The sequence below is a fragment of the Homo sapiens genome, chromosome 3 (genome assembly GCF_000001405.40).
Source record: "Homo sapiens chromosome 3, GRCh38.p14 Primary Assembly".
Lineage (NCBI taxonomy): Eukaryota > Metazoa > Chordata > Mammalia > Primates > Hominidae > Homo > Homo sapiens.
Genome location: NC_000003.12, coordinates 44,575,166 through 44,600,103, shown reverse-complemented (window position 1 = coordinate 44,600,103; position 24,938 = coordinate 44,575,166). Strand labels below are relative to the sequence as shown.

The 24,938-nt window shown below is 45.3% G+C and overlaps 3 protein-coding genes, 1 long non-coding RNA gene and 1 pseudogene across 13 annotated transcripts in view, besides 1 other annotated feature; 2 read left to right on the top strand and 3 right to left on the bottom strand.

Annotated features, from left to right (window-relative positions):
* Positions 1 to 15,140, bottom strand: part of ZNF660-ZNF197 (ZNF660-ZNF197 readthrough) — a 63,508-nt gene extending 48,368 nt beyond the window's left edge. For all 6 annotated transcript variants that reach the window (NR_147692.2, NR_147691.2, NM_001351733.2 and 3 more), the window contains exons 1-2: positions 15,097 to 15,140; positions 13,891 to 13,999 (exon numbers count right to left, since the gene is read on the bottom strand). The gene's annotated coding sequence lies outside the window, so the exon portion shown is untranslated. The remainder of the gene's footprint in view (positions 1 to 13,890; positions 14,000 to 15,096) is intronic.
* The window catches only part of ZKSCAN7-AS1 (ZKSCAN7 ZNF cluster antisense RNA 1), a 128,297-nt gene that overhangs the window by 85,550 nt on the left and 17,809 nt on the right, over positions 1 to 24,938 (top strand). The gene's annotated exons all lie outside the window — the stretch shown is intronic.
* Positions 410 to 15,140, bottom strand: ZNF660 (zinc finger protein 660). The gene is made up of 3 exons (NM_173658.4): positions 15,097 to 15,140; positions 13,891 to 13,999; positions 410 to 6,090 (listed from the first exon to the last, which is right to left on the bottom strand). The coding sequence occupies exon 3, from the start codon at positions 5,908 to 5,910 to the stop codon at positions 4,915 to 4,917; it is 996 nt and encodes a 331-aa protein (NP_775929.2). The 5' UTR covers positions 5,911 to 6,090; positions 13,891 to 13,999; positions 15,097 to 15,140; the 3' UTR covers positions 410 to 4,914.
* The window catches only part of ZKSCAN7 (zinc finger with KRAB and SCAN domains 7), a 28,291-nt gene continuing 19,973 nt past the window's right edge, over positions 16,621 to 24,938 (bottom strand). For 3 of the 5 annotated variants that reach the window (NM_025169.3, NM_001288591.2, NM_001288592.2), the window contains exon 6: positions 16,621 to 17,132. In NM_025169.3, coding sequence (NP_079445.1) covers positions 17,113 to 17,132 — 20 coding nt within the window. In that variant the 3' untranslated portion in view covers positions 16,621 to 17,112. Of the gene's footprint in view, positions 17,133 to 18,451; positions 22,800 to 24,938 lie in introns of those variants that run through there. The other 2 variants (XM_047448582.1, XM_047448581.1) reach the window with 1 other exon arrangement.
* Positions 18,801 to 22,674, top strand: MPRIPP1 (myosin phosphatase Rho interacting protein pseudogene 1; annotated as a pseudogene).
* Positions 18,962 to 19,462: an enhancer, noted in NCBI's record as "H3K27ac hESC enhancer chr3:44622134-44622634 (GRCh37/hg19 assembly coordinates)". NCBI's record gives its function as "activates a minimal SCP1, AML or CMV promoter by ChIP-STARR-seq in naive H9 embryonic stem cells {active_cell/tissue: H9 hESC(naive)}" and the evidence as "EXISTENCE:reporter gene assay evidence [ECO:0000049][PMID:30033119]".

The window sequence follows — 24,938 nt, the reverse complement described above, 5'->3', positions numbered from 1 at the left end:
CTCCTGTCTCTTTCCATGCCAGGTGCTTTGCTTCCTCTCTTCCTGCCCTTAGACATTCTAAGTTCTTCAGTCTTTGGACTCTGGGACTTGCACCAGCAGCCTCCTGGAGGTTCTAGGGCCTCTGGCCTCAGACTGAGGCTGCACTTTAGTTTCCTTGGTTTTGAGGCTTTCAGACTTGGACTGAGCCACACTACCAGCTTCTCTTTTGCCAGCTTGCAGATGGCCTATGGCGGGACTTTGCCTTAAGCCAATTCTCCCTAGTAAAATCTCTTTTATATATACATACATCCTATTCATTCCATCCCTCTGGAGAAAGAACCCTAATATAGCTACTTAAAGAAAAGCAGATTGAACTATTTTTTTCCCACTCTGAACAAAGAAAGTAAGCAAAAAGAAAAAAAAAGTGATATTTATAAGAATAGCAGACGTTTATTGAAGGAATTATCACTACTTCCTGCAAAACAATTTCATGACTCCAGTTTTATAACATCAGAGGCTATTAAAGACAGTCTGGCGACTAAAAACAACTGACAATATGGGCATCTTTTAAATTTTATATTAAATGGAAAAAACAATCAAGAAAGGAAGTCCTGCTGAGGGTACAGAGCTGCAATGAAATTTAGTCTTAAGGGATTTAGATTCAACAGCTACTAATTAATCCTAATTACTCAGTTACTTAAAGCTGTTTTTTACTTCAATTTTCTTCCAAGTAATACCTAACACAGGACGCACCATCTATGAAAAAAGATTTCTAAGTCCAGGGCGACACTTTCCTCTCTAAGCAGAATTCTTTGTCTTACGTATTGCCCTCTACTCAAGGCTATATAAAATGAGATTTTCGTATTTTCCTCTCAACTAAAAAGAGCATATATATTTTTATTCTACACAGGAGCAATTCTATATAACCAGGATGTCTGTGGCTAAAATTATTGCCTCTTTATATTCCTCAGGAATATTCAGGGTACTAAAACTGTAAGTGAATAAATGTGAGTAGACAAGAAACCAAATAACAAGAATGAGCAATACACAGTAGTTTAGTGATATATATTTCAAAAGCACTGGGTTGGGTTTTTGTGGGTTTTTTGTTTTGTACTGTTTTGTTTCTGAGACAGGGTCTTGCTCCGTGACCTAGGCTGCAGTGCAGAATTGTGATCATAGCTCACTGTAACAGTGAACTCCTGGGCTCAAGTGATCCTCCCCCCTCAGCCTCCTGAGTACCTAGGACTACGTGTGTATGCAACCATGACTGATTAGAGCTAAGTTTCTGATGGAGAAGAGAGAAGAAATGGCAGTACAGAGAGGTACATGAGTTGAGAGACACATAAACCAGCAATTGAGGAATGCAGAATAAGCACTGCCCTTGGGGAACAGCCCGGTTTCCATTGGAACAAGAATGTGAAGAAAACACATTCATTCAAGACCAGCCTGACCAACATGGCAAAACCTCGTCTCTACTAAAAATACAAAAAATTAGCCAGGTGTGGTGGCAGGTACCTGTAATCCCAGCTACTTGGGAGGCTGAGACAGGAGAATCGCTTGAACCCAGGAGGCAGAGGTTGCAGTGAGCCGATATCACGCCATTGCACTCCAGCCTGGGCGACAAGAGCAACACTCCATCTCATAAATAAATAAATAAATAAATACACATATAAATAAAGCCAGGTGCAGTGGCTCATGCCTATAATCCCAGCACTTTGGGAGGCCGAGGCAGGTGGATCTTGTGAGGTCAGGAGTTCGAGATCAGCCTGGCCAACATGGTGAAACCCTATCTCTATTAAAAATACAAAAATTAGCTGGGTGTGGTGGCAGGTGCCTGTAATCTCAGCTACTCAGGAGGCTGAGGCAGGAGAATTGCTTGAACCTGGGAGCTGGAGGTTGCGGTGAGCTGAGAGCTGAGATCACGCCACTGCACTCCAGCATGGGCGACAGTGCGAGATTCCATCTCAAAAAAAAAAAAAAAAGAAAAGAAAAGAAAAGAAAGAAAAAGAAAGCACATTAAAAGAGACAGTTCCTGGTTTCCAGAGGGTATTATGAAAGGGCTTGAAAGGATGGTAAGAGCTGCATGCCTAAACTCTGACTGAGGTAAAAGTTGGTAACCCTGGGAGACTCCCGGAGAAAGGTGGGTGATCAGTTCAAATTATAGCTGAATGTTTATCTGAAAGGATGCAGGAACCCACTGTCAAGTGTTTATTCCTACAGCTCAAGGCAGGTATTAGCCTAGAAGATGGGTGATGGCCTCCTCAAGAGACTATAATCCTCGCCTGCCTGGGGCAAGAAATATGAAGCTCTCCTATATTCAGTTCTCTGGTTATGAGATGGCATCATATCCTTCCTTGAGATATACTCTTGAAGATCATAGTCTTCTAAGACAAAAAAGAAAGCCTATCTAAATAAAGAGTTTTAGGCACTATGACATGGTGGTGAAAAAATGTTTTGGTCAGAGAATATCTGCTCAGCAATATATAAAGCATCAACAATTCTGCTCAGGAATGATAGACCAGGCTTGTCCATGAATGCTACAAATCTGTTCCAGGCCTTCCAAACCCTGCTTGGAATGACCATGCAAAGGACTATTATATCACAAATTATGTGCAAACCACTATCCTATCAAAATAGGACAAAATCAGTAATTTTTTTTCACACAAATATACAACCTTCACCCTTCACTTCTTTCTTTCCGGTAACAGCAAGAAAGAAATATATATACCTTAAAACTAAATTATGAGGTACAGAGATAGGCCATAAACCCCATTCACAGAACACTGATAACATCTTCCCTATAAAACCATGGTCAAATATCAAATAATTGTTAGATACAATCACCTTTCATAGAGGCAGCTACCTGGGAAAACGCCAACTGGTCTTCCACTCACATACAGAACCACCATGGTGGGCAGAGGCACTTTGGTATAATGAAGAAAGCATGAATTTCAAAGTCAGATCTGAGCTCAAATCCTGGCTCCGACAACTTACTAGCCAGTCACCTAACCTCAATGACACTCAATTTTCTTGTATAATAGAGGGAGAACTAAATAACATATTATCAAAAATTCCCCAAACACTAATTCACTATGTGCATAAGACAGATAACAGTGGGCTTAGGGATTCACTGTATACACAGAGGAATGGCTGAGTTAAAAATAGGGAGATTCTAAGTGTTTCAGAGTGACTTTGAGCTAAGCACTTAAAATGTTTTAAATATTGGTGGAAGATGGGCTAAGACCTTCAAGGAGGACTGGTCATAAAGAAAGGCAGAGGAAGATAGAAAACATCTGTTGTATTGATTGCTCAACACCTCTCCGTCCCTTCTTCAGGGAAAGATTTTTCTCAGTGACAAAAGGAAGAAACCAGATGAGAAAGCCTCAGCTCCTTTTCCAGTTCCCAATCTGAAGGAGTTGTGTGAAGGCAAGATGCAGCTGTGGCCACTGTCTTGCCACCATGAGGTTATGAAAAATGAAAGTCAACATGCTGAAAATTATGGAGTTAAGAGAGAAGTGTGATGAAGTGCTGAGTTGCCAAACCAAACATAGCACTGCTTACCTCTAGATTCCCCTTAAGCAATCAATCAATGTTCTTAAGGTCTAGGCTGCTAGTACTTGGTATTCTGTTCAATACATCTGAAAATATCCTAAGTACTACCTTACACAAAAATTCTCTTTAATCACTCTCCCTAAAGTGTTTAGAAACACTGCTACAATGTCCTATACTTAAGATTTTATCATTTACCACGTGTCTGGCTTATCATATATTTCATGCATTACTCACTTAATCCTCACAACAACCTTGTAAGGTAGGTAATTGTTCCTTTTTTACACACAGGTCTGAGGCTCAGAGCAGTTAAGTGACTTGTCCAAAACTGACAAGCTAGTTCATGGTAGAACTGGGGTTAGAACATGGATATCTCCAACCCCAAAGTTTGTACTTTTAGCCTTTAAACTCTATATACCATGTGAAGGCAGAGTCTCCCACTAGTTTTATATTAACTGGTGACTGTATCTGAAGTTTTTGAGTCTACAGTTGTTTCAATTTCATTTTTTTCTGGTTGTGTAGACATATGTTGAAAAGATGAAGCCTAGGTAGTTCTCCATCATCTGCAGATCCTTCCAGAACTGTGGGAAAGGAGGGTTCAGTGAATTTTTGCTGTGTTCTTTTAACCTAACAGTGTTATTATATATTTTGTTGACAACTCTAAAGTCAGCTTGTCTTAAAACTAAAAAGGACAAAGGATCGGTGTTTATGATTTTACTTAACAGGAAACACGCTCTAAAAGGAAGGGACTTGCTCGCGGTTCCACTGCTGCTAAATGCCAGTGTCAGGGTGCAATCCCAGGGCTTTGGGCTCTATATACTACGTGCCTTTCATAACACTGCTGAGTGAAAATAAGCACGTCTTCATTGCATTTAAAAAATACTGTGCTTTTTTTCTTGCATATAAAATTAGTATATTCTCATGTAGATAATCTAGAAAGCATAGAAAAGTATACAGAAGAAAATAGAAATCACCTATAATCCTATCGCCCAGAGATGATCACTGTTAACATTTTGGTTTACTTCCTTCTCAATTTTTCCTATGCAAAAATATTTTTTTAAATTTTGGATTGTATGTCATTATCTTCCGTCTTATCCAATCATTTCCCCATGGCATTAAATTGTCTTTAAAAATGTTTGCAATGGCTGCAGAACCATCATATGGATAGCTCATCATTCATTTCAACCCTGTAATGTTGAAAATCTAGTTTTCTTCTTTCAGTCGTATATGATGCTGTCATGAACATCCCTTTCATTAATCTTTGTCTACTTCTAATTATTTTCTTAGAAGTAGAGTATGATTCTTAGAAGTAGAATTAAAGTTGATACTAAAGAACTACTTTTTAGAAAAGCAGCAGTCAGCCCTACTACCCACAATATTTGTTATTTATGAGGTTTCTTTCTCCTCATTATGTTTCCTCTGGTGTTGAATAAGCTGTGAACTATACCGATAGGCTTTCCCACACTCACTACATTTATAGGGTTTCTCCTTAGTGTGGGTTCTCAAGTGTAGAATAACTTGAGAAGTCTGCCTGAAGGTTTTCCCACATTCATTACATTTATAGGGTTTCTCTCCAGTGTGAACTCTCTGATGATCAACAAGGTTTCGATTAGAAGTAAAAGCCTTCCCACACTCATTACATTTGTAAGGTTTCTCTCTACGATGAAGTCTCTGGTGTTCATTAAGAGTTTTCCTTAAGATGAAAGTTTTTCCACACTCATCACATTCATAAGGCTTCTCTCCAGTGTGAATTCTCTGATGGTCCATAATCTTTGTATTAGAACCACATGTTTTCCCACACTCCTTACATTTGTAAACTTTTTTTCCTCTGTGCATTCGCTGATGTTGAGTAAGGTTTGAACTACGGCTAAAGGCTTTCCCACACTCAATACAAGAATAGGGCTTCTCTCCGGTGTGAACTCTGTGATGTGATATAAGGCCCGAACTCCGACTAAAGGCTTTCCCACACTCTTTACATTCATAAGTTTTCTCCCCACTGTGGATTCCCTGGTGCCGAATAAGATGTGACTTTCCACTGAAAGATTTCCCACATTCACTGCATGTATAGGGCTTCAGTCCAGTGTGGATTCTCCGATGAACAACAAGGTTAGAGCTATGACTGAAAGCTTTTCCACACTCCTTACACTTATAGGGTTTCTCTCCCGTGTGGATTCGCTCATGTACTGTGAGGTTTGCACTCTGACTAAAGGCTTTCCCACACTCAGTACATACATACTGTCTCTTTTCAGCCTGAACTCTCTCATTTGTTGCAGGGTCACAGCACTGACTATTGTCTTTTTCAGATTCTTGGTCACTCCCTTCTGTGAGTACTTTATTGTCTTTAACTGTCTTATGTTTGAAATTTCTTGTCTTTCTCCTCATTTTCTCCTGCTTGGAACATACCAGTGTCCTCTCTAGTCTTCTCTTTCCCTTCAGAGGAGCCTTCTAAATTTTGACTTCCTGGGCAATGTCTCTGTGGAATTCTCTTGAAAGTATGTATGATTCTGATTTTTCAGGAATGATGCTTTGGAATTAACTCCTCCTCAGTCCCAGTTTCACCATCTGACAGGAGAAACAGAAATTGCACATGTCACCTATTCTCTGTACCAGAGGAAGGAGATCTATCCACGGACAAGATGTGGTAGCCATATGGAAGGGTTAAGTGTTCAAGGGCAGGGGAACAGATCAAAAAGATGACAAAAATGAAGTTAAACATAGAGGCCAATGTAAAGGCTTATGGAAAGCCAGGGGCTAAGGGGAGCCCAGCAGGTCCAGCATCAGAATAAGCAATGAATCGTATAAAATCTACCCTAGTTCCTTCCTGCCTCATCCTCTACTCCCTGAATTGGAGCCATCTAACTCGTTGCTTTTTTTTTTTTTTTTTTTGAGATGGAGTGCAATGGCACGATCTTGACTCACTGCAACCTCCGCTTCCCAGGTTCAAGCGATTCTCCTGCCTCAGCCTCCCTAGTAACTGGGATTACAGGCGCCTGCCACCACGCCCAGCTAATTTTTTGTATTTTTAGCAGAGATGGGGTTTCACTATGTTGGCCAGGCTGGTCTTGAACTCCTGACCTCAGGTGATCCACCTGCCTCAGCCTCCCAAAGTGCTGGGATTATAGGCATGAGCCACCGCACCCAGCTCAGAGCCATCTAACTCCTAATGGCAGGCTCAACTATAATCTGGTCCTAGAAAAAGTGAACTGAAAGATGACTAAACTTTAGTTCAGTTTGGCTTTTAGTTCTTGCTAACCTATTCCCCTAGTACTAGTGATACTGTGGCCAGTATGTAAAAGGTGCTCAAAATGGTATTATAGAATAGCAACTAGGATTCTGTCTTAGGTTGTGAGTAGGATTTCATCTTTTGCTCAAGGTCCAGGTACTAGACCCCAGTCTACATCCTTGCAGGTAAACCCTATCTTGTTAAGTGGTGACACAGTTCTTTCAATATTGAGCCTAGTCACATCATAGCCTACTTCATAGGGGCTGGCCTATAGTTGGACCCAGTTTTTTTTTTTTTTCTGAGACGGAGTCTCACTCTGTCGCCCAGGCTGGAGTGCAGTGGCACGATCTCGGCTCACTGCAAGCTCCGCCTCCCAGGTTCACGCCGTTCTCCTGCTTCAGCCTCCCGAGTGGCTGGGGCTACAGGCGCCCGCCACCACGCCTGGCTAATTTTTTGTATTTTTAGTAGAGACGAGGTTTCACTGTGTTAGCCAGGATGGTCTCGATCTCCTGACCTCGTGATCCACCTGCCTCGGCCTCCCAAAGTGCTAGGATTACAGGCGTTAGCCACCGCGCCCAGCCAGTTGGATCCAGTTTTATATGCAAGTGTAGTCTGTCTGCTTTTCACCATGCTGTCACTCTGACAGACTGAGACTACTTAAGGGGTGAGTCTGAGAGGCTAAATTGGGAAAGAAGGTTAGTTAAAGCATGGCAGATGAAACTCTGATAGGATCTTGCATGGCATAATAGTAAAGTATCTAAGGATGGCAAAAGCGTCAGAGTAGGGGCAGCATAACCAAGAGGTGCCAATACATGAAACCAAACATCAGAATAAGGAGGAATTTCCCAACTGGTTTGACGTGAAACTCTGGACATACAGGTAACCATGGCAGACCTTAGAGGGAGTTGGGATGTAAAAGAAAGCAAAAAGATAACTACATGATACTAACACATGACTATGCTCCTTTATAGACTTGCCCATATGTATTTTGTTAGACAATTAAATATGGTAGATATTATTTTGCATCCTACTTCTTGCAGTTCATTTCATTTATTTTTTAGTTGATAAAAAAGTATATATATTTATGGCATACAACATGTTTTTATAAATGTTTACACATGGAACAGGTAAATCAAGCTAATTAACATATCCATTACTTCACATACTTATTATTTTTTCATGGTAAGAACATTTAAAATCTCTCTTAGCACTTTTCAAGTCTAAATATGTTGATATTAACTATAATTACCATGTAATACAATAGATTTCCTGAAATTATTCCTCCTAACAGAATTTTTGTATCCTTTGACCAACATCTCCCTAATCCCTGCCTCACAAATTTTTTTTTGTTTTTTGAGACGGAGGCTCGCTCTGTTGCCCAGGCTAGAGTGCAGTGGTTCAATCTCCACTCACTACAACCTCCGCCTCCTGGATTCAAGCAATTCTCCCTGCCTCACCCTCCTGAGTAGCTGGGATTACAGGCGTCTGCCACCACGCCTGGCTAGTTTTTGTATTTTTTAAGTAGAAATGGTATTTCGCCATGTTGGCCAGGCTGGCCTTGAACTCCTGACCTCAGGTGATCCACCTGCCTCGGCCTCCCAAAGTGCTGGGATTACAGGCGTGAACCACTGCGCCCAGCCTCCACTTAATTTTTTAATGCACATTTTTCCACATTGCTATTTAATCTTCATATGATCATTGAATTCCTTCTAATTTACCTACCATTTTGCTAGTGTTGGACATTTCTGTTGTTCCTTGAAGTTAACTACTATCAATAATGCTATCATAATCTCTTTATACACACAAAATTTTCTTCCTATTAAAATATATTCCTAGGACAAAAGTTCCACAAATGAGTTAATTGGGTCAGAAGGAGTGCAACTGTTGTGCAGTATTGCTTGTTGCTATTCAAAAAAGTTTGATGGGCTGAGCATGGTGGCACATGTCTATAATCTCAGCACTTTGCAAGGCTGAGGCGGGAGGATCACTTGGGCCCAAAAGTTTGAGACCAGCCAGGGTAAGACAGGGAGACTACATCTCTACAAAGAATTTAAAAATTAGCTAGGCATGGTGGTGTGCACCTGTAGTCCCAATTACTCAGGAGGCTGAGGTGAGAGGATTGCTTGAGCCCAGGAGGTCCAGGCTGCAGTGAGCCCTGATTATGCCACTGCACTTCAGCCTGGGCAACAGAGCAAGACTTTGTCTCAAAAAAAAAAGTTTGACCAATTTCCATGTCCCACAGCTTTCTGATAAATGGAGCCACACTTTCTGGAGAAGGAAGATAGCAAATGGTGGCACTCGAGACTGGCAAAAAGATAACTGCACATATTCGAGTTCACATCTCAGAAATGCGGGTGGCCACTGATTCCATACACAGGCACATACACACAAACTCATGCCCAAGATAAGAAGGGTAGGAAGAGAGAATGGTGAGGGAGGGTGGATTCTTGCCAGGGTCCTGGGCTCACTCACATCCAGCTGCTGCTACCTCTCCTAATCATTAAGGATGAAGCAGGTGGAGAAAACAGTGCAAAGCCAGGGGACTGCAATGCAGAGCAGTAGAGCAAGTGAACTCACCTTCAAAGTTCTGTGAGAAAGTTGATAGTTTTTTCTGAATTTCTTTTCAATTTCTCATCTTCTCTGGAACTTCTCTTTTCTTCATACATTTCTTAAACTCATAACTAATGAGCACCCTACTCTGTATATATCCCTGTTCTGGGTCTAACACAGGGAAAATTTAAAGAAGCATTGTCATGGACTGAATGTTTGTGTCCCCCTAACATTTGTATGTTAAAGCTCTAACCCCCAATGTGACTGTATTTGGAGATGGGGCCTCTAAGGAGATAATTAAGGTTAAATGAGGTCATAAGGGTGGGCCCTGATCCAACAGAATTCATGTCCTTATAAAAAGAAACACAAGAAAGTTCTCTTACATGCTCTCCCTCTCTCCACACACATACACATAAAGGCTATGAGAATACATAGTAAGAAGATGGCCAGCTACAAGACAGGATGAGAGCCCCCTACCAGAAACCAAAATGGCGAGGCACATGGATCTCACACTTCTAGGCTGCAGAACTGTGAGAAAATAAGTTTCTGTTGTTTAAGCCACTCAGTTTATGGCATTTTGTTATGGTAACCCAAGCACACTAATACAAGCATGAAATATCATACTTCCCTTAAAGAGCTTACAATGGAGTAGTATGGAAAAACAATAAGAGAGCAAATTCAAATTTACAATGTATGCAAGCAGGAGATGAAGAGGACTAGGGGAGGGAGGGAGCAATTACTAAGGCATGGAATGATGGAGAAAAGCATTTTAAAAAGGCAGAATTTAGGCTGAGCCCTGGAGAATAAGCAGTGTTTTCTCAAAAAAAAAAAAAAAAAAAAAAAGGCACAGGGTTGGTATACATGAAAATAAATGGGAGATCATAATATTATATAAACTTCATGTAGGCAGGGATTTTGTCCGTCCTGCTTACCCTGTATTCCTAGCACTACCACAGTCCCAGGCACATGGTAAGCGCTCAACATTTTTTGTTGTTGGAATTAACAAATGAAGAAAGAATCAAGCTGCCTGAAGTGATTCCAACCAGAATACTGAAATTACAAGATGAAAAATATGGATATAAACTGATGGTCAAAGGGAAACCAGTTCTAAACAGAAGAGTGAAATCTATCCTTAATTTTCTTTCTCCATTCTATATTCTTTTTTGTACCTTGCTATTCTCCACTCTTGTTATTTTCCTTCTTTTTCTCACTTAACAATACAGTTTTTCAAGCATTACCATGCACTTCCCCTAGTTCCCATAGTTCCTCCACTACCACCTCCCAGAACATTCACGTTTCTCTCAGCTTAATGAAATGGAAAACAGAGGAGAGAGGCAGCTGGGATAACACATGGGGAGTAAATTGAGGGAAACAGAAAGTAAAGAATCCAAGAGATGTCAAGTAGGGCAATCATATATCCTGGTTTTCCCAGAATAGTGCTAGTTTAAGCCTACTATCCCAGCATCATATTTAATAATGGCTCCCTTAACTCACAACAGTATCCCCGTTTGGACAATAAATTTTGCATTATCCTACCCAAAAGTGAAATTAGGATAAGAACTCTTTAGGAAGATTAGCCCAGATGGATTAGAGGGGGTTAAAAAGAAAAGAGGAAGGGAAATGAATTAGGAGACAACACTAGTCATGCGGTACAGGTGAACACTGGAGGGTCTGGCACGTTGTAGGTACCCAATAAACGTTTGTTGAATGAATGAACAAATGAATAAGATAGCAAGACCCTAATCCAAGATGAGAGAACAGAGAACAATGAAGTCTAGCTATTTTCAGGAACGCATCCAGATGTATAACGCACACATCCATATTCCTTTGAATACAGAGGATGGACTGAAGGAAACAATCCAAGGTCATCAGATCCATGTCTGAATACCAAGAATGGTAGTGTCACTAAGCAAGATGGGGACACACAGAAACATTTTAGACAAGGTGAAGAGGAATATATCACGAAGGCAAATTTGAGAATGATAAGACAGAGAGGACAGAGGGAGTCATGAAAATGTATAAACTTACTGAGGGTCGGGCACGGTGGCTCACTCCTATAATCCCAGCACTTTGGTAGGGTGAGGTGGGAGGACTGCCTGAGCCCAGGTGTTTGATCAGCCTGGGTAAAAATATTTTAAAAAGTGAGCCAGGTGTGGTGGCATATGCCTGTGGTCCCAGCTACTTGGGAGGCTGAGGGAGGTCGAGGCTGCAGTGAGCTATGATCATGCCGCCACACTCCAGCCTGGGAGACAGTGAGAACTTGTCTCAAAATAAATAAATACATTAAAAAAATAAAAAAACAGATAAGCTTACTGAGAAAGGGATTTGGGTTAGAAAAGTGATATCATTTAGATGTTCCTTCCAAATCTCACATTGAAATGTAATCTTCTATGTTGGAGGTGGGCCTGTTGGGAGGTGACTGGATCGTGGGGGTAGATTTCTCATGAATGGCTTATCGTCATCCTCTTGGTTCTGTCCTTGTGATAGTGAGTTCTCGTGAGATCATGTTGTTTAAAAGTGTGTGGTATCCCTCTGCCTTGCTCTTGCTCCTACTCTCACCATGCTCTGCCTCCTCCTACTTCACTTTCCACCATGAGTAAAAGCTTCCTGAGGCCTCCCCAGAAACTGAACAGATGCTGGCACCGTGCTTCCTGTACAGCCTGCAGAACAGTGAGTCAATTTAAACTCTTTTCTTTACAATTAACCCAGTCACAGGTATTTCTTTCTTTCTTTCTTTCTTTTTTTCTGAGACGAAGTTTCGCTCTTGTTGCCTAGGCTAGAGTGCAATGGCGTGATCTCAGCTCACTACAACCTCTGCCTCCCAGGTTCAAGTGATTCCTCTGCCTCAGCCTCCCGAGTAGCTGGGATTACAGGCATGTGCCACCACGCCCAGCTAATTTTTTGTATTTTTAGTAGAGATGGGGTTTCTCCATGTTGGTCAGGCTGGTCTCAAACTCCCAACCTCAGGTGATCCGCCCACCTCAGCCTCCCAAAGTGCTGGGATTGCAGGCGTAAGCCACCGCGCCCGGCTGGTATTTCTTTACAGCAACACAAGAATAGCCTAACACAAAGGGGCAGGTAGGGAGAAAGAGAAATGCACAGCGATGCACTGTAAGAAAGCCCAGGGTGGTGATGGAGGAGCTGAGGAGGAAGCAGGACCAGACAGGAGATCAAAGAGGGCCAAATGAGGAGAGTTTGATCAAAAAGAAACCTATTTGCTCCCTTCTGTCTGATTGGATAGGAAATGCCCTCAGAAATCCTGGAAGAATTCCTAGGTACTAAGGAAGTAGGGTCTTGGCTGGAGAAGTTTGGAGGGAAACATGAGGCCACAGGCCAGTAGGACACTAGGGGTATCTAGGCAACTGTACAGAAAAGCAAAATCTCAGACAGCCAGTGAATGTATGAGGACTGATAAGGCCCTGCAGATCTCTAACCCACAAATCTCTGAGACTGGTAGGTAAGTGTTCTAATCCTAGGACCACCATCCATTTCAGGCTGTGAAAAATACATAAAGGGTAGAATCCTATTGAGAGAGAGAGAGAGAGGCTTTACTTGGAGGCTGTCTTCCTTTAATTCACCAGCATCATCTGCCTGTTCAAGTCCCTCTAAGCAATGGTTACATGGTTCTTGGTTATTGATTAGGTGCAGTGGAGTAAGGAATAAGAGGAAATACCTGAAAATAAATTCAAGGGATGGATAAGTGAAATGTAAACATTGCAAGAAAAAAAAAGAATTAGAAGAAAGGCCTAAGCCTCAAGGGAAAGGCTAACACCATGTGAAAAAGCTGATATATCTGACACATAAAAATTTCTGTATTCCAAAAAATGCCATAACAAATCTATAAAATAGAGTTTGCCTTATACTGGAATTGCTTGTGTGTATGTCTGTGTCCATCCTCAAATATATACATTAAGCTCTATGCCCTCAGAGAGCAGTTCCCATGAGATTTGCCTGTAGATACCACATGGTGTCTGACACAGAGAGGGCTCAGTCAGCATTGTTTGATTTGAAATGGTAAATTAAACAAGTTTAAGATTCTAACACCTGGAGTGCACATAGGGATGCTGAGAGCCAAATCCACACATCACTACTACCATCCCTCCTCTACATGTTTGTCCTTTTTGTGCTTCATATTATCTGGGAAACACCATAATGGTGTATTTGCATTCTTGGCAATTCTGTCTCAACAGAGTCATCCCAGGGACTAAATTCCCTAAGAGATTGACCTGGTCCCACTATTCAGAGACTCTCAGTATGTCAGAGCTGGAAGGAACCTCCCAGTCTATCCAGTCTTATATCCAAATGTACAGAAGGAAAACTTGGAACTTAGAGGAAAGCTGGGACTCAAATCCAAGTCCCATGACACCCAATTTTGAGTTCTACTACATCACCCTTATTCCCATCTGAAACAAAACTCTACTCCTCAAGGTCCAGAGGCCCCCTGCCCACTTCAGTGCTTTTCTCCTGTTTGATAAATACCACTGAGAGAAGCTCCCTTTCAACCCTGGTGCCCACAAGCAGGATTCCTGTGCCCAGACTAACTTCACAATCTAGGCCTCACCTGCCCAGGAGAGAATGGAATGACTCACCCATATTCCTGTGCACAGCAGCCTCAATCCAAAGGATCTGCACAGCACAGATCTTGCCTGATCTCCTCCTTGAGTTCAGTGAAGAAGTTCCTAAGAGGGTCTTGAGTCACTGTAAACAGATATAAATGACTGAGTTCTCTGAGCCCTGAATTCCAAGTGGACACTCAGGGCAGTGTCCCATCTTTGGGTAACTTCCCTTCCTATAGAACTGTGGGCAGTAAGAAGGATCATTTCCAGTGTAAAGATGAGGGAATGAAGCTCCCAGGGATTGAACGACTTGCCCAAGGTCCTATAGCTAGTGAGTGATTAAAAAGCCTTCTGTGTCTTCAGGAAATCCTAATTCCATCACACCACAGCCTCCCCTTTTCACCTGCTCCATTGATATCTAAAAGCTTCCATATTCTCATCTAACTGCAAAATACAATGCAGTGGAGAACTTCCTTGCAATCCAGCTTTCCACAGAAAGTCTGCACAAGGGGGATGAGAGGGAGAACTTTGCTGAGTCAAGTGTCTTTAGGAAGACAGAAAGAAACAAGTCTTTAAAAGAGCACTAGAAAAAGAATGTTCCTTTTTTCTGTTTACCCATTTCTTAGGATTACTAAGCCTCAAATATGTTTTGTGTTTCCCCCTCCAGATCCCCAGGCTCTGCTTCTAACCCTTGAAGTTTGTTTCATTTCTCCCCTACTAGAATTTAGTTCTGTCCTGTACACAACCATAACCCCAGGACCTAGCACACTACTGGGTTAGTGCTCAATAAATATTTGTTGAATGAATCAATGAATGAATGAGTAACCTTGGGCAAGACTCCGTCCTCTTCTCTGGGCCCCAGGTTCCTCACTGGTAACGGGAGGGATATTGGACTGGTGATTTGAGTCAAATACTCAGGGGCTGTGGAGTCCTGAGAGCCTAGGCGGGACTCGACCGCTACTACCCGGAAGGCCCACTGCCTAGGAGCGGGGACGACACAGTGCTGTCACCACGGCCAGCCTGGTCCAAGCGAGCAGCTACGAGGAGTCAGAGACTGGACCCAAGACAAAGGGGCAGCACTGAACGAGAGAAAGGGGAGGCCCACAACGACCCCTTGGCTGCCGCGCCCATCTCAGCAGCGGGCAGCCGCAGAGGAGCCCTGGCCTCCTGGCTTGCGTCTCCCACACGCTCCCAGAACCCGGCCCGACCCCCCACGCCAGACTGTAGAGCACCCCTCACCGAAAGCGCCAGACCCACATCTTGAACAAAGCGCAGAAGGAACTGCGTCAGCAACTCCCAGCTAACTCCCAGCCTGTCCCTCCGGCCCTTCTAGGCTTCGTGAGGTTTCCACATCTCTGTGCCCGCGGGCTGGAGTCCCCCCGCCCCTCAGAAGCCCCGCGCGGTCGGCCGACGCTCTGGCCCTGCCTCCCTTCCGGGCTTTGCCCTATCATTGGATGGAAGGGCTTGGCGACTTCAGCCAATGTGAGGAGGGCCCTGGAAGTGGTGGAAGCTGGGCAGGGGGCTTGGTTAGGGCGGAAAGAGACCGAGCATCTGGGTGGCCAGGCTGCCAGCCTCAGGCTGAGACTCCCTAAAGTTACACCCCCAGCTCCGGTTGCTGAGCAGAGAGGTCATCTTTCCTTCCACAGATCTGGGTCATTCAGCCTCAAAGCCAGGATCAGCTATGGTTTATTGGCAGCATATGAAAAGACGTTTTGGGTGCCTACTATGTCACTCACTGTTCCAGGCGCTGCGGATACAGTAGTGAAGAAAATGAACTCTCTGCCCCATTGAGTTTACATTCAAGTCAAGGAGACAATGATAAATAAATATGTAGAACGTAGCAGTAAGGGGAGAGAGGGAGTAAGGGGAGAGAGGGAGATAGTGGTGGGACTATTTTACAGATGACAGGGAGGGCAGAGACAGGAAGTGGGCAATTGAAGCATGTGGCTATCTGGGGAAAGAGTATTCCCATAGTGGGCCATTAGGAGCAAAATTCTTTAATCAGGAGTGGGGTGGAGAGGTGCACATTTAGGATCTTGTAGACTATGATAAGGGCTTTGGATTTGCTCTGCATAACAGCTGGAGGGCTTGGGGACAGAGGAACGACATGATCTAACTTTTTTTCCCTTACCACATATTCAAAGACTTGTTAGCTATGAGACATGAAAGAAGCCAAGAAGCCTGTTACTATAAATTCTGTGAATTCTTTGCTGTCTGTCCTTAGCCATTCTAACATAAACCTTGCATGAATTTTGCTCTTTGACTTATATTTTTAGTTTGCTTTGGCTGTCTTGTTGAGAACGGTCTGAAGGTGGGTAAGAGTAGAATCAGGGAGATTAAGAGGCCATTACAATATTCCAGATGAGGACTGATAGTGGCTTGGACAGGCTTAGAAGTGATGCAGGTAGTGAGAAATGGTTCTGCATATATTTTGAAGGCATGGCCTGCATGATTTGCTAATGAATTGAATGTTGGTTACTGATGACTCCATGGTTATTGATCTGAGCAACTAGCATGGGATGGTCTTTTAGAAATCGAGTAGCTTGAAAGGAACAGGTTTAGGGAGAGGGATTAATAGTTTTGTTTTGGATGTGTTAAAGATGCCAATTAAACATCCAAGATGAAATGCCAAACAGGCAGTTGGAATAGGAGTCTGGACTTCCGTGAAGAGATCACAGCTAAAGACATAAATTTGGAAGTTGTCAGGACAGGATGAGACAATCTAGGGAATGATTTATCTAAGAAGGAGTCTGAGAATCAAGCTTTTGAAGTACTTCGTCAATTGACAAATATTCAGTATTTAATATTGTTGAGTACTTAAAGTATACCAGGAGCTTTCTTCTCCATTGGCTCATGTAGGTGGCACAACTCCGCCACATTGTATAGAGATTGAAAAAGAGATTCAGACAAAAGTCCTCCACAAGTTCACACCCTCAGTTGATGTGGGACGTAGAACTCGGGACACTCTCCTGAAGAGCACAAGACTACTGCCACTACATCAAGAAACTTAAAAAGAATAGGCTGGGTGTGGTGGCTCACGCCTGTAATCCCACCACTTTGGGAGGCTGAGGCGGGTGGATCACCTGAGGTCAGGAGTTCGAAACCAGCCTGGCCAACATGGTGAAACCCCGTCTCTACTAAATATTACAAAAATTAGCTGGGCATGGTGGCAGGCGCCTGTAATCCCAGCTACTCAGGAGTCTGAGGCAGGAGAATCGCTTGAACTCGGGAGCTGGAGATTGAAGTGAGCCAAGATCACGCCATTGTACTCCAGCCTGGAAGACAAGAGTGAAACTCAGTCACACACACACACACACACACACACACACACACACACACGAATATTCATGTACATTAAGGGAGCTGTGATCTTTAACTTACTTAGTCTTCCCTTTCACCTACTCTTTCATTTGGGTGGGTGGGGCCATTCATTCTGATTCAAGCTGCTAACCCTACATCTGGTCCCAGGGAGGAATGATTACTCCTTAATATTCTAGTCCAGTAATTCTCAAATTTTAGAGAACGTAAGGGTCACTAGAATATATGTTAAAAATAGATTCCAGCCTGCCTGTATCCAGCTTCTATTGCCCTTATCCACAAGCATACTTTTTCCTACAAAAATCTATTCATTCAGTCAAGTATAATGTCACTGCTCAGAAATCAGGGTGTTTTTTTGTGTGTCATAATTGCCTAAATACTCAGCAATTTCAATCTTTATTATGACATCTATCTGCCAAAGAAATTCTAACTCATTTGGGTAAATGAAATCAACGTCTAGTTGGTCAGGTCTTTTTAAGTTTGTGGACTAGGCCATCTAAGGGGAAAAAACATTGTAATTTTAGTCAGTTGACAAGTCTTAACCAGGCATCATTTCAGGAATACCCACAGGCCAGAAAGGTGGGCCGTCATACATTGCTCTCCTATTGTGTTTTCATGTAAAGCACTCACATGCCTTAAAAGGGAGTCTGCATCTCACCCTACTTGGCATCCACCTGGGTAAAGTGACCCTGTGCATATATTAGTGGAGGACTGTTATGATTTGGTGAATAATAAATCTAAAATGTCCTATCCTGGATCAAGTACTAGCACCACTAGGTGCTTGTGGAGCCAGCTGTAATCGTTAACACCTTCCCTGTATCCAGCTGTGGCAAATTCTACTGGTCCCCATCAGGGCAGAGCATGACCTGATGTTAGGGATAGGGGATTTACTTTCAATTCTTTTTATAGTGCCACCATGTGCGTATTCACAATTGACAAATTCACAACCTGTCCCTAACCCCTAGAGGTTTTCAGGAATGCACGCTCTGTAGTACTCCAGAAAAAGGTCAACATCTTGACAGAACTGTCTCCCAACATGGGACAGTACTCAATAACTTGTTAACATCCACCATCTCTTGACATTTCCTACTGCATTTAGAAGCTGAATGACCAGGGCTGGAGTTTATGATAAGGGTTTGGCTGTAGAATATTTTCATTGCATGTTTAAGAGGTAAGTGAGTAAGTATACCACTCCCAGCACCTTCACTGGGTCTGACCACCACCTAAACTGTCCTTGGGTTTGAATTCTGTTTGACTAAAACATATATATATTAAATTGGAAGTTCTGTAACACTGTTTACTGATACCTTTTTTCGTGGGTTCCCTCATGTACCAGGAACTATGTGTTGTATAACAAAACTTTTCCACTTCAGGAATATTTTTCAGAAATATGTGCAAAATATGGAAGCTCATGATGAATGATTCCTTGACCTCTAAAAACCAAAAAGTTCTCTAACCCGTGTGATTTATCTGATGTCAAACAAAGTCTCTGGTGTATGATGTTTGCTACAACTGAATGGTTTTTCACATATCTTAAGAATTGGTCATTTGCAGCGGCCGCGGGGCGCTGAGGGCAGCTGTGGCGGCGCGGACGAGCCGGGACGGCGGCGACCGGAGCTTGAGAGGCGGGCCGCAGCGGGAAGCAGCGGGCCCGAGGCCGCGTCCTTGGGCCCACGGCGGCTGGGCGGCGGCGGTGCGGGCGGGAGCTGGGCGTCGCGCGCGCTGTGAGGCCCGGGCGGCTCAGGAGCCTCGGCGCGTGCAGCGAGCCGCCCGCAGGGAAGGAGGCCGGTCAGGGCCTGTGGCAGGGCCGGCGAGGGATGCGGCGGCGGCCGCGCTGAGCCCCTAGCCCGCCGGGAGCGCCAGGCCGGCCGGGCCTGCGCCGCCGCCGCCGCCGCGCCGACCATGTCGGCAGCCAAGGAGAACCCGTGCAGGAAATTCCAGGCCAACATCTTCAACAAGAGCAAGTGTCAGAACTGCTTCCAGCCCCGCGAGTCGCATCTCCTCAACGACGAGGACCTGACGCAGGCAAAACCCATTTATGGCGGTTGGCTCCTCCTGGCTCCAGATGGGACCGACTTTGACAACTCAGTGCACCGGTCTCCGAAATGGCAGCGACAGTTCTTCATCCTTTACGAGCATGGCCTCTTGCGCTACGCCCTGGATGAGATGCCCACGACCCTTCCTCAGGGCACCATCAACATGAACCAGTGCACAGATGTGGTGGATGGGGAGGGCCGCACGGGCCAGAGGTTCTCCCTGTGTATTCTGACGCCTGAGAAGGAGCATTTCATCCGGGCGGAGACCAAGGAGATCGTCAGTGGGTGGCTGGAGATGCTCATGGTCTATCCCCGGACCAACAAGCAGAATCAGAAGAAGAAATGGAAAGTGGAGCCCCCCACACCGCAGGAGCCTGGGCCTGCCAAGGTGGCTGTTACCACCAGCAGCAGCAGCAGCAGCAGCATCCCCAGTGCTGAGAAAGTCCCCACCACCAAGTCCACACTCTGGCAGGAAGAAATGAGGACCAAGGACCAGCCAGATGGCAGCAGTCTGAGTCCAGCTCAGAGTCCCAGCCAGAGCCAGCCTCCTGCTGCCAGCTCCCTGCGGGAACCTGGGCTGGAGAGCAAAGAAGAGGAGAGCGCCATGAGTAGCGACCGCATGGACTGTGGCCGCAAAGTCCGGGGGGAGAGCAGCTACTTCTCTCTGGAGAAGACCAAACACGACTTGAAGGCCGAAGAACAGCAGCTGCCCCCGCCGCTCTCCCCTCCCAGCCCCAGCACCCCCAACCACAGGAGGTCCCAGGTGATTGAAAAGTTTGAGGCCTTGGACATTGAGAAGGCAGAGCACATGGAGACCAATGCAGTGGGGCCCTCGCCATCCAGTGACACACGCCAGGGCCGCAGCGAGAAAAGGGCGTTCCCTAGCAAGCAGGACTTCACCAATGAAGCCCCCCCCCAAGCTCCTCTCCCAGACGCCTCGGCTTCCCCCGTCTCCACACCGAAGAGCCAAGTCACTGGACAGGAGGTCCACAGAGCCCTCCGTGACGCCCGACCTGCTGAATTTCAAGAAAGGCTGGCTGACTAAGCAGTATGAGGACAGCCAGTGGAAGAAACACTGGTTTGTCCTCGCCGATCAAAGCCTGAGATACTACAGGGATTCAGTGGCTGAGGAGGCAGCCGACTTGGATGGAGAAATTGACTTGTCTGCATGTTACGATGTCACAGAGTATCCAGTTCAGAGAAACTATGGCTTCCAGATACATACAAAGGAGGGCGAGTTTACCCCGTCGGCCATGACATCTGGGATTCGGCGGAACTGGATCCAGACCATCATGAAGCATGTGCACCCGACCACCGCCCCGGATGTGACCAGCTGGTTGCCAGAGGAAAAAAACAAGAGCAGCTGCTCTTTTGAGACCTGCCCGAGGCCTACTGAGAAGCAAGAGGCAGAGCCGGGGGAGCCGGACCCTGAGCAGAAGAGGAGCCGCACGTGGGAGCGGAGGCGAGAGGGCCTCTCCAAGACCTTTGACTGGGCTGAGTTCCGTCCCATCCAGCAGGCCCTGAATCAGGAGCGGGTGGGCGGTGTGGGGCCTGCTGACACCCACGAGCCCCTGCGCCCTGAGGCGGAGCCTGGGGAGCTGGAGCGGGAGCGTGCACGGAGGCGGGAGGAGCGCCGCAAGCACTTCGGGATGCTGGACGCCACAGGCGGGCCAGGCACTGAGGATGCAGCCCTGCGCATGGAGGTGGACCGGAGCCCAGGGCTGCCTGTGAGCGACCTCAAGACGCATAACGTCCACGTGGAGATCGAGCAGCGGTGGCATCAGGTGGAGACCACGCCTCTCCGGGAAGAGAAGCAGGTGCCCATCGTCCCCGTCCACCTGTCTTCTGAAGATGGGGGTGACCGGCTCTCCACACACGAGCTGACCTCTCTGCTCAAGAAGGAGCTGGAGCAGAGCCAGAAGGAGGCCTCAGACCTTCTGGAGCAGAACCGGCTCCTGCAGGACCAGCTGAGGGTGGCCCTGGGCCGGGAGCAGAGCGCCCGTGAGGGCTACATGCTGCAGGCCACGTGCAAGTGAGGGTTTGCAGCAATGGAAGAAACGCACCAGAAGAAGATTGAAGATCTCCAGAGGCAGCACCAGCGGGAGCTAGAGAAACTTCGAGAAGAGAAAGACCGACTCCTAGCCGAGGAGACAGCGGCCACCATCTCAGCCATCGAAGCCATGAAGAACGCCCACCGGGAGGAGATGGAGCGGGAGCTGGAGAAGAGCCAGCGGTCCCAGATCAGCAGCGTCAACTCGGATGTTGAGGCCCTGCGGCGCCAGTACCTGGAGGAGCTGCAGTCGGTGCAGCGGGAACTGGAGGTCCTCTCGGAGCAGTACTCGCAGAAGTGCCTGGAGAATGCCCATCTGGCCCAGGCGCTGGAGGCCGGGCAGCAGGCCCTGCGGCAGTGCCAGCGTGAGAACCAGGAGCTCAATGCCCACAACCAGGAGCTGAACAACCGCCTGGCTGCAGAGATCACACGGTTGCGGACGCTGCTGACTGGGGACGGCGGTGGGGAGGCCACTGGGTCACCCCTTGCACAGGGCAAGGATGCCTATGAACTAGAAGTCTTATTGCGGATATAGGAATCGGAAATACAGTACCTGAAACAGGAGATTAGCTCCCTCAAGGATGAGCTGCAGACAGCACTGTGGGACAAGAAGTACGCAAGTGACACCACAAAGACATCTACACAGAGCTCAGCATCGCAAAGGCTAAGGCTGACTGTGACATCAGCAGGTTGAAAGAGCAGCTTAAGGCTGCAACGGAAGCACTGGGGGAAAAGTCCCCTGACAGTGCCATGGTGTCCGGATATGATATAATGAAATCTAAAAGCAACCCTGACTTCTTGAAGAAAGACAGATCCTGTGTCACCTGGCAACTCAGAAACATCAGGTCCAAGAGTCTGAAGGAAGGCCTGACGGTGCAAGAACGGTTGAAGCTCTTTGAATCCAGGGACTTGAAGAAAGACTAGGTGTGTCCCATCCAAGTTGAGCACGCACCTTCCCCAGCTTGCAGCAGCACACCCCGAGCGCTGCTTTTCACCTGTACCTTTGTTTTACTGCTGTTGTTGTCATCGTTAACTGTGGGCATGGAATGCGTGAGGCTGGCTTCTGGGTTGTCCACACCACTCTCTGCTGTGTTGACTTCCTGTTGTCTTCATCAAAGCTTTTTTCCGTGGTATTCTAAAATTAGGCCAGCAGTGGGGGCTGGGCGGGCATCTGTGTTAGTCCCTTCCTGGCTGTGACCCCCCACACTCACTGTCAGTATTAAGGCCCAGCAGCCTGTTGATAAGCTACCCTGTCTCACCATGTGCTGGTGTGGAAACGGGGCCCAGCCAGCACGCCTCAAGATAGATGGAATCCCCACTGGTCAGAGAAAAAGCCATGCGGACACTCCAGCTTGGCCTGGGTCACAGCACTGACTCCTCACCCGCTAGTCTGGCTGTTAAGAGGAGAAAGTGCACTGCCTTCCAGCCTGGGAGGAGGACAGCATTTTGTATTTGTTCCACTGATGCAGCTTAGAACCACACCCCTGAGAATCGTGGCAAACCTTTCACAACCTGGAAAATGTTGAAAGCAACCATTCCTAAAAAAAAACAAAAAAAAAAAGAATTGGTTATTTGGGCTGGGCATGGTGGCTCACACCTGTAATCCCAGCACTTTGGGAGGCCAAAGCAGGAGGGTTGCTTGAGGCCAGGGGTTCAAGTCTACTCTAGGCAACATAGTAAGACTCCTGTCTCTATAAAAATTTTTTTAAAAATTAGCCAGGTATGGTAACATGCGCCTGTAGTCCTAACTACTCAGGAGGCTGAGGTGCAAAGATCCCTTGAACCTAGGAAGTTGAGGTTGCAGTAAGCCATGATCATACCACTGCACTCCAGTCTGGGTGACAGAGTAAGACCCTGTCACTTAAAAAAAAAAAAAAGATTTTGTTTCCAATGTGGAGTAATGACTTGTGACTGAAGGGTTTTCCACATTCAGTTCTTTCACAACCAAGCTATTTCCAATGAGGCAGAGAACTTGGAAGGAGGCTCCACTGGATAACTAGCCTGGAGGCTGAGCCAAAAAGAAAGCTAGATATAAAAGTTGGCCCTGAGTGAAAAATTTTCAACCAGCTTAGCAAAATTGAAGCTGCTTCTCTACTGCTGAAGTGCAGAGTTACATAAATTTACAACTAACCTTTTAGCTTCAGATCTAAAGGGACAGTTTTAATAGCACCTACTTGGAATGTAAAGGGAAATCCATTTCCCTATCTGCAGACAAATATCAGGACTGGAAAGCCCTTGTCATTCACTAATGAGGAAAAAGCAAATGTATGTGAAGGCAATGCAAAGCCTTGGCAACTTAAGGCAGTAAAAGAACATATGAAAAAAAAATTCAAGAGAAATGAAATTCAAAAAGAGAAACAAGATACACTGCCTTTGGTAATCCTGAAAGTAAAAAAAAAACTGAAGGGAAACCAAAATGCAAAACATCATACAGTTGGCCCCCTGTATTCTTGGGTTCCGCATCCACATATTCTGAGGATATGGAGGGCTGACTGACTGTAAAGGAGCATCTGAGGGCTTTGATATCTGAGATAGGGGCATCCTGGAACCAATTCCCTGTGGATATGACTATATATGGAAAAAGAGGTCAATTACATATACAGAACAGAGGAAAAGAATCTTACAGAATACTAGGTGTAACTTTATGCCAACGTTTGACAGAATAGTAAATACGATTTCCAGATACATATTAGAAAAATTTACACAGAAGTAGAAAACCTGAAGAACAAAACCACTGAAAAAAACTGCAAGGATGCTACTGCCACATCCAAACACCAGGGGAAAAAAATTATATATATATCAGAATGCGTCATTTCTAGCTAGCCTTTAAGGAATAACTGCTATATTATGCATACTGTTCCAGAGTAATAAAAGAAAAAAAACTTCCAAATTCATTTTGCACAGCCAGCAAAATATTGGCAAATTGAATCTACTTCTGAACTTTAAAAAATAATAATAATAATAAGGCCAGGCGCAGTGGCTCATGCCTGTAATCCCAGCACTTTGGGAGGCCGAGGCGGGCGGATCACCTGAGGTCGGGAATTCGAGACCAGCCTGACCAGCATGGAGAAACCCTGTCTCTACTAAAAATACAAAAATTAGCCTGGCATGGTGGCACATGCCTGTAATCCCAGCTACTCAGGAGGCTGAGGCAAGAGAATTGCTTGAACCTGGGAGGCGGAGGTTGCAGTGAGCCGAGATCGTGCCATTGCACTCCAGCCTGGGCAACAAGAGTGAAACTCTGTCTCTAAATAAATAAATAAAATAGATTTATCCCAGGAATACAAGAAAATTTCAATTATTTGGGAACTTTTAGATTTTTTATAACTTGATAAAACTTAGCAACTATTCCTAATAAAACTTTTATTATAGTGTATACTATGTGTCAATCACTGTTTTAAGTACCTTACACATACTGACTAATTTAATCCTCACAACCCTATGAAGTAGCTCCACTTTAGAGACGGAAGAGCTGAGACACAGGAAAGCTAGGTGATTTTCCCACAGTTACACACCTAACAAAGTGGTGGACATGCAGATTATTTTTTAAGACAGGGTCTCACTCATTGCCTAGGCTAGATTGCAGTGGTGCAATGATAGCTCACTGGAGCCATGGCCTCCCAGGCTCGGGCAATCCTCCTGCCTCAGTCTCCTGAATACCTAGGACTAAAGGCATG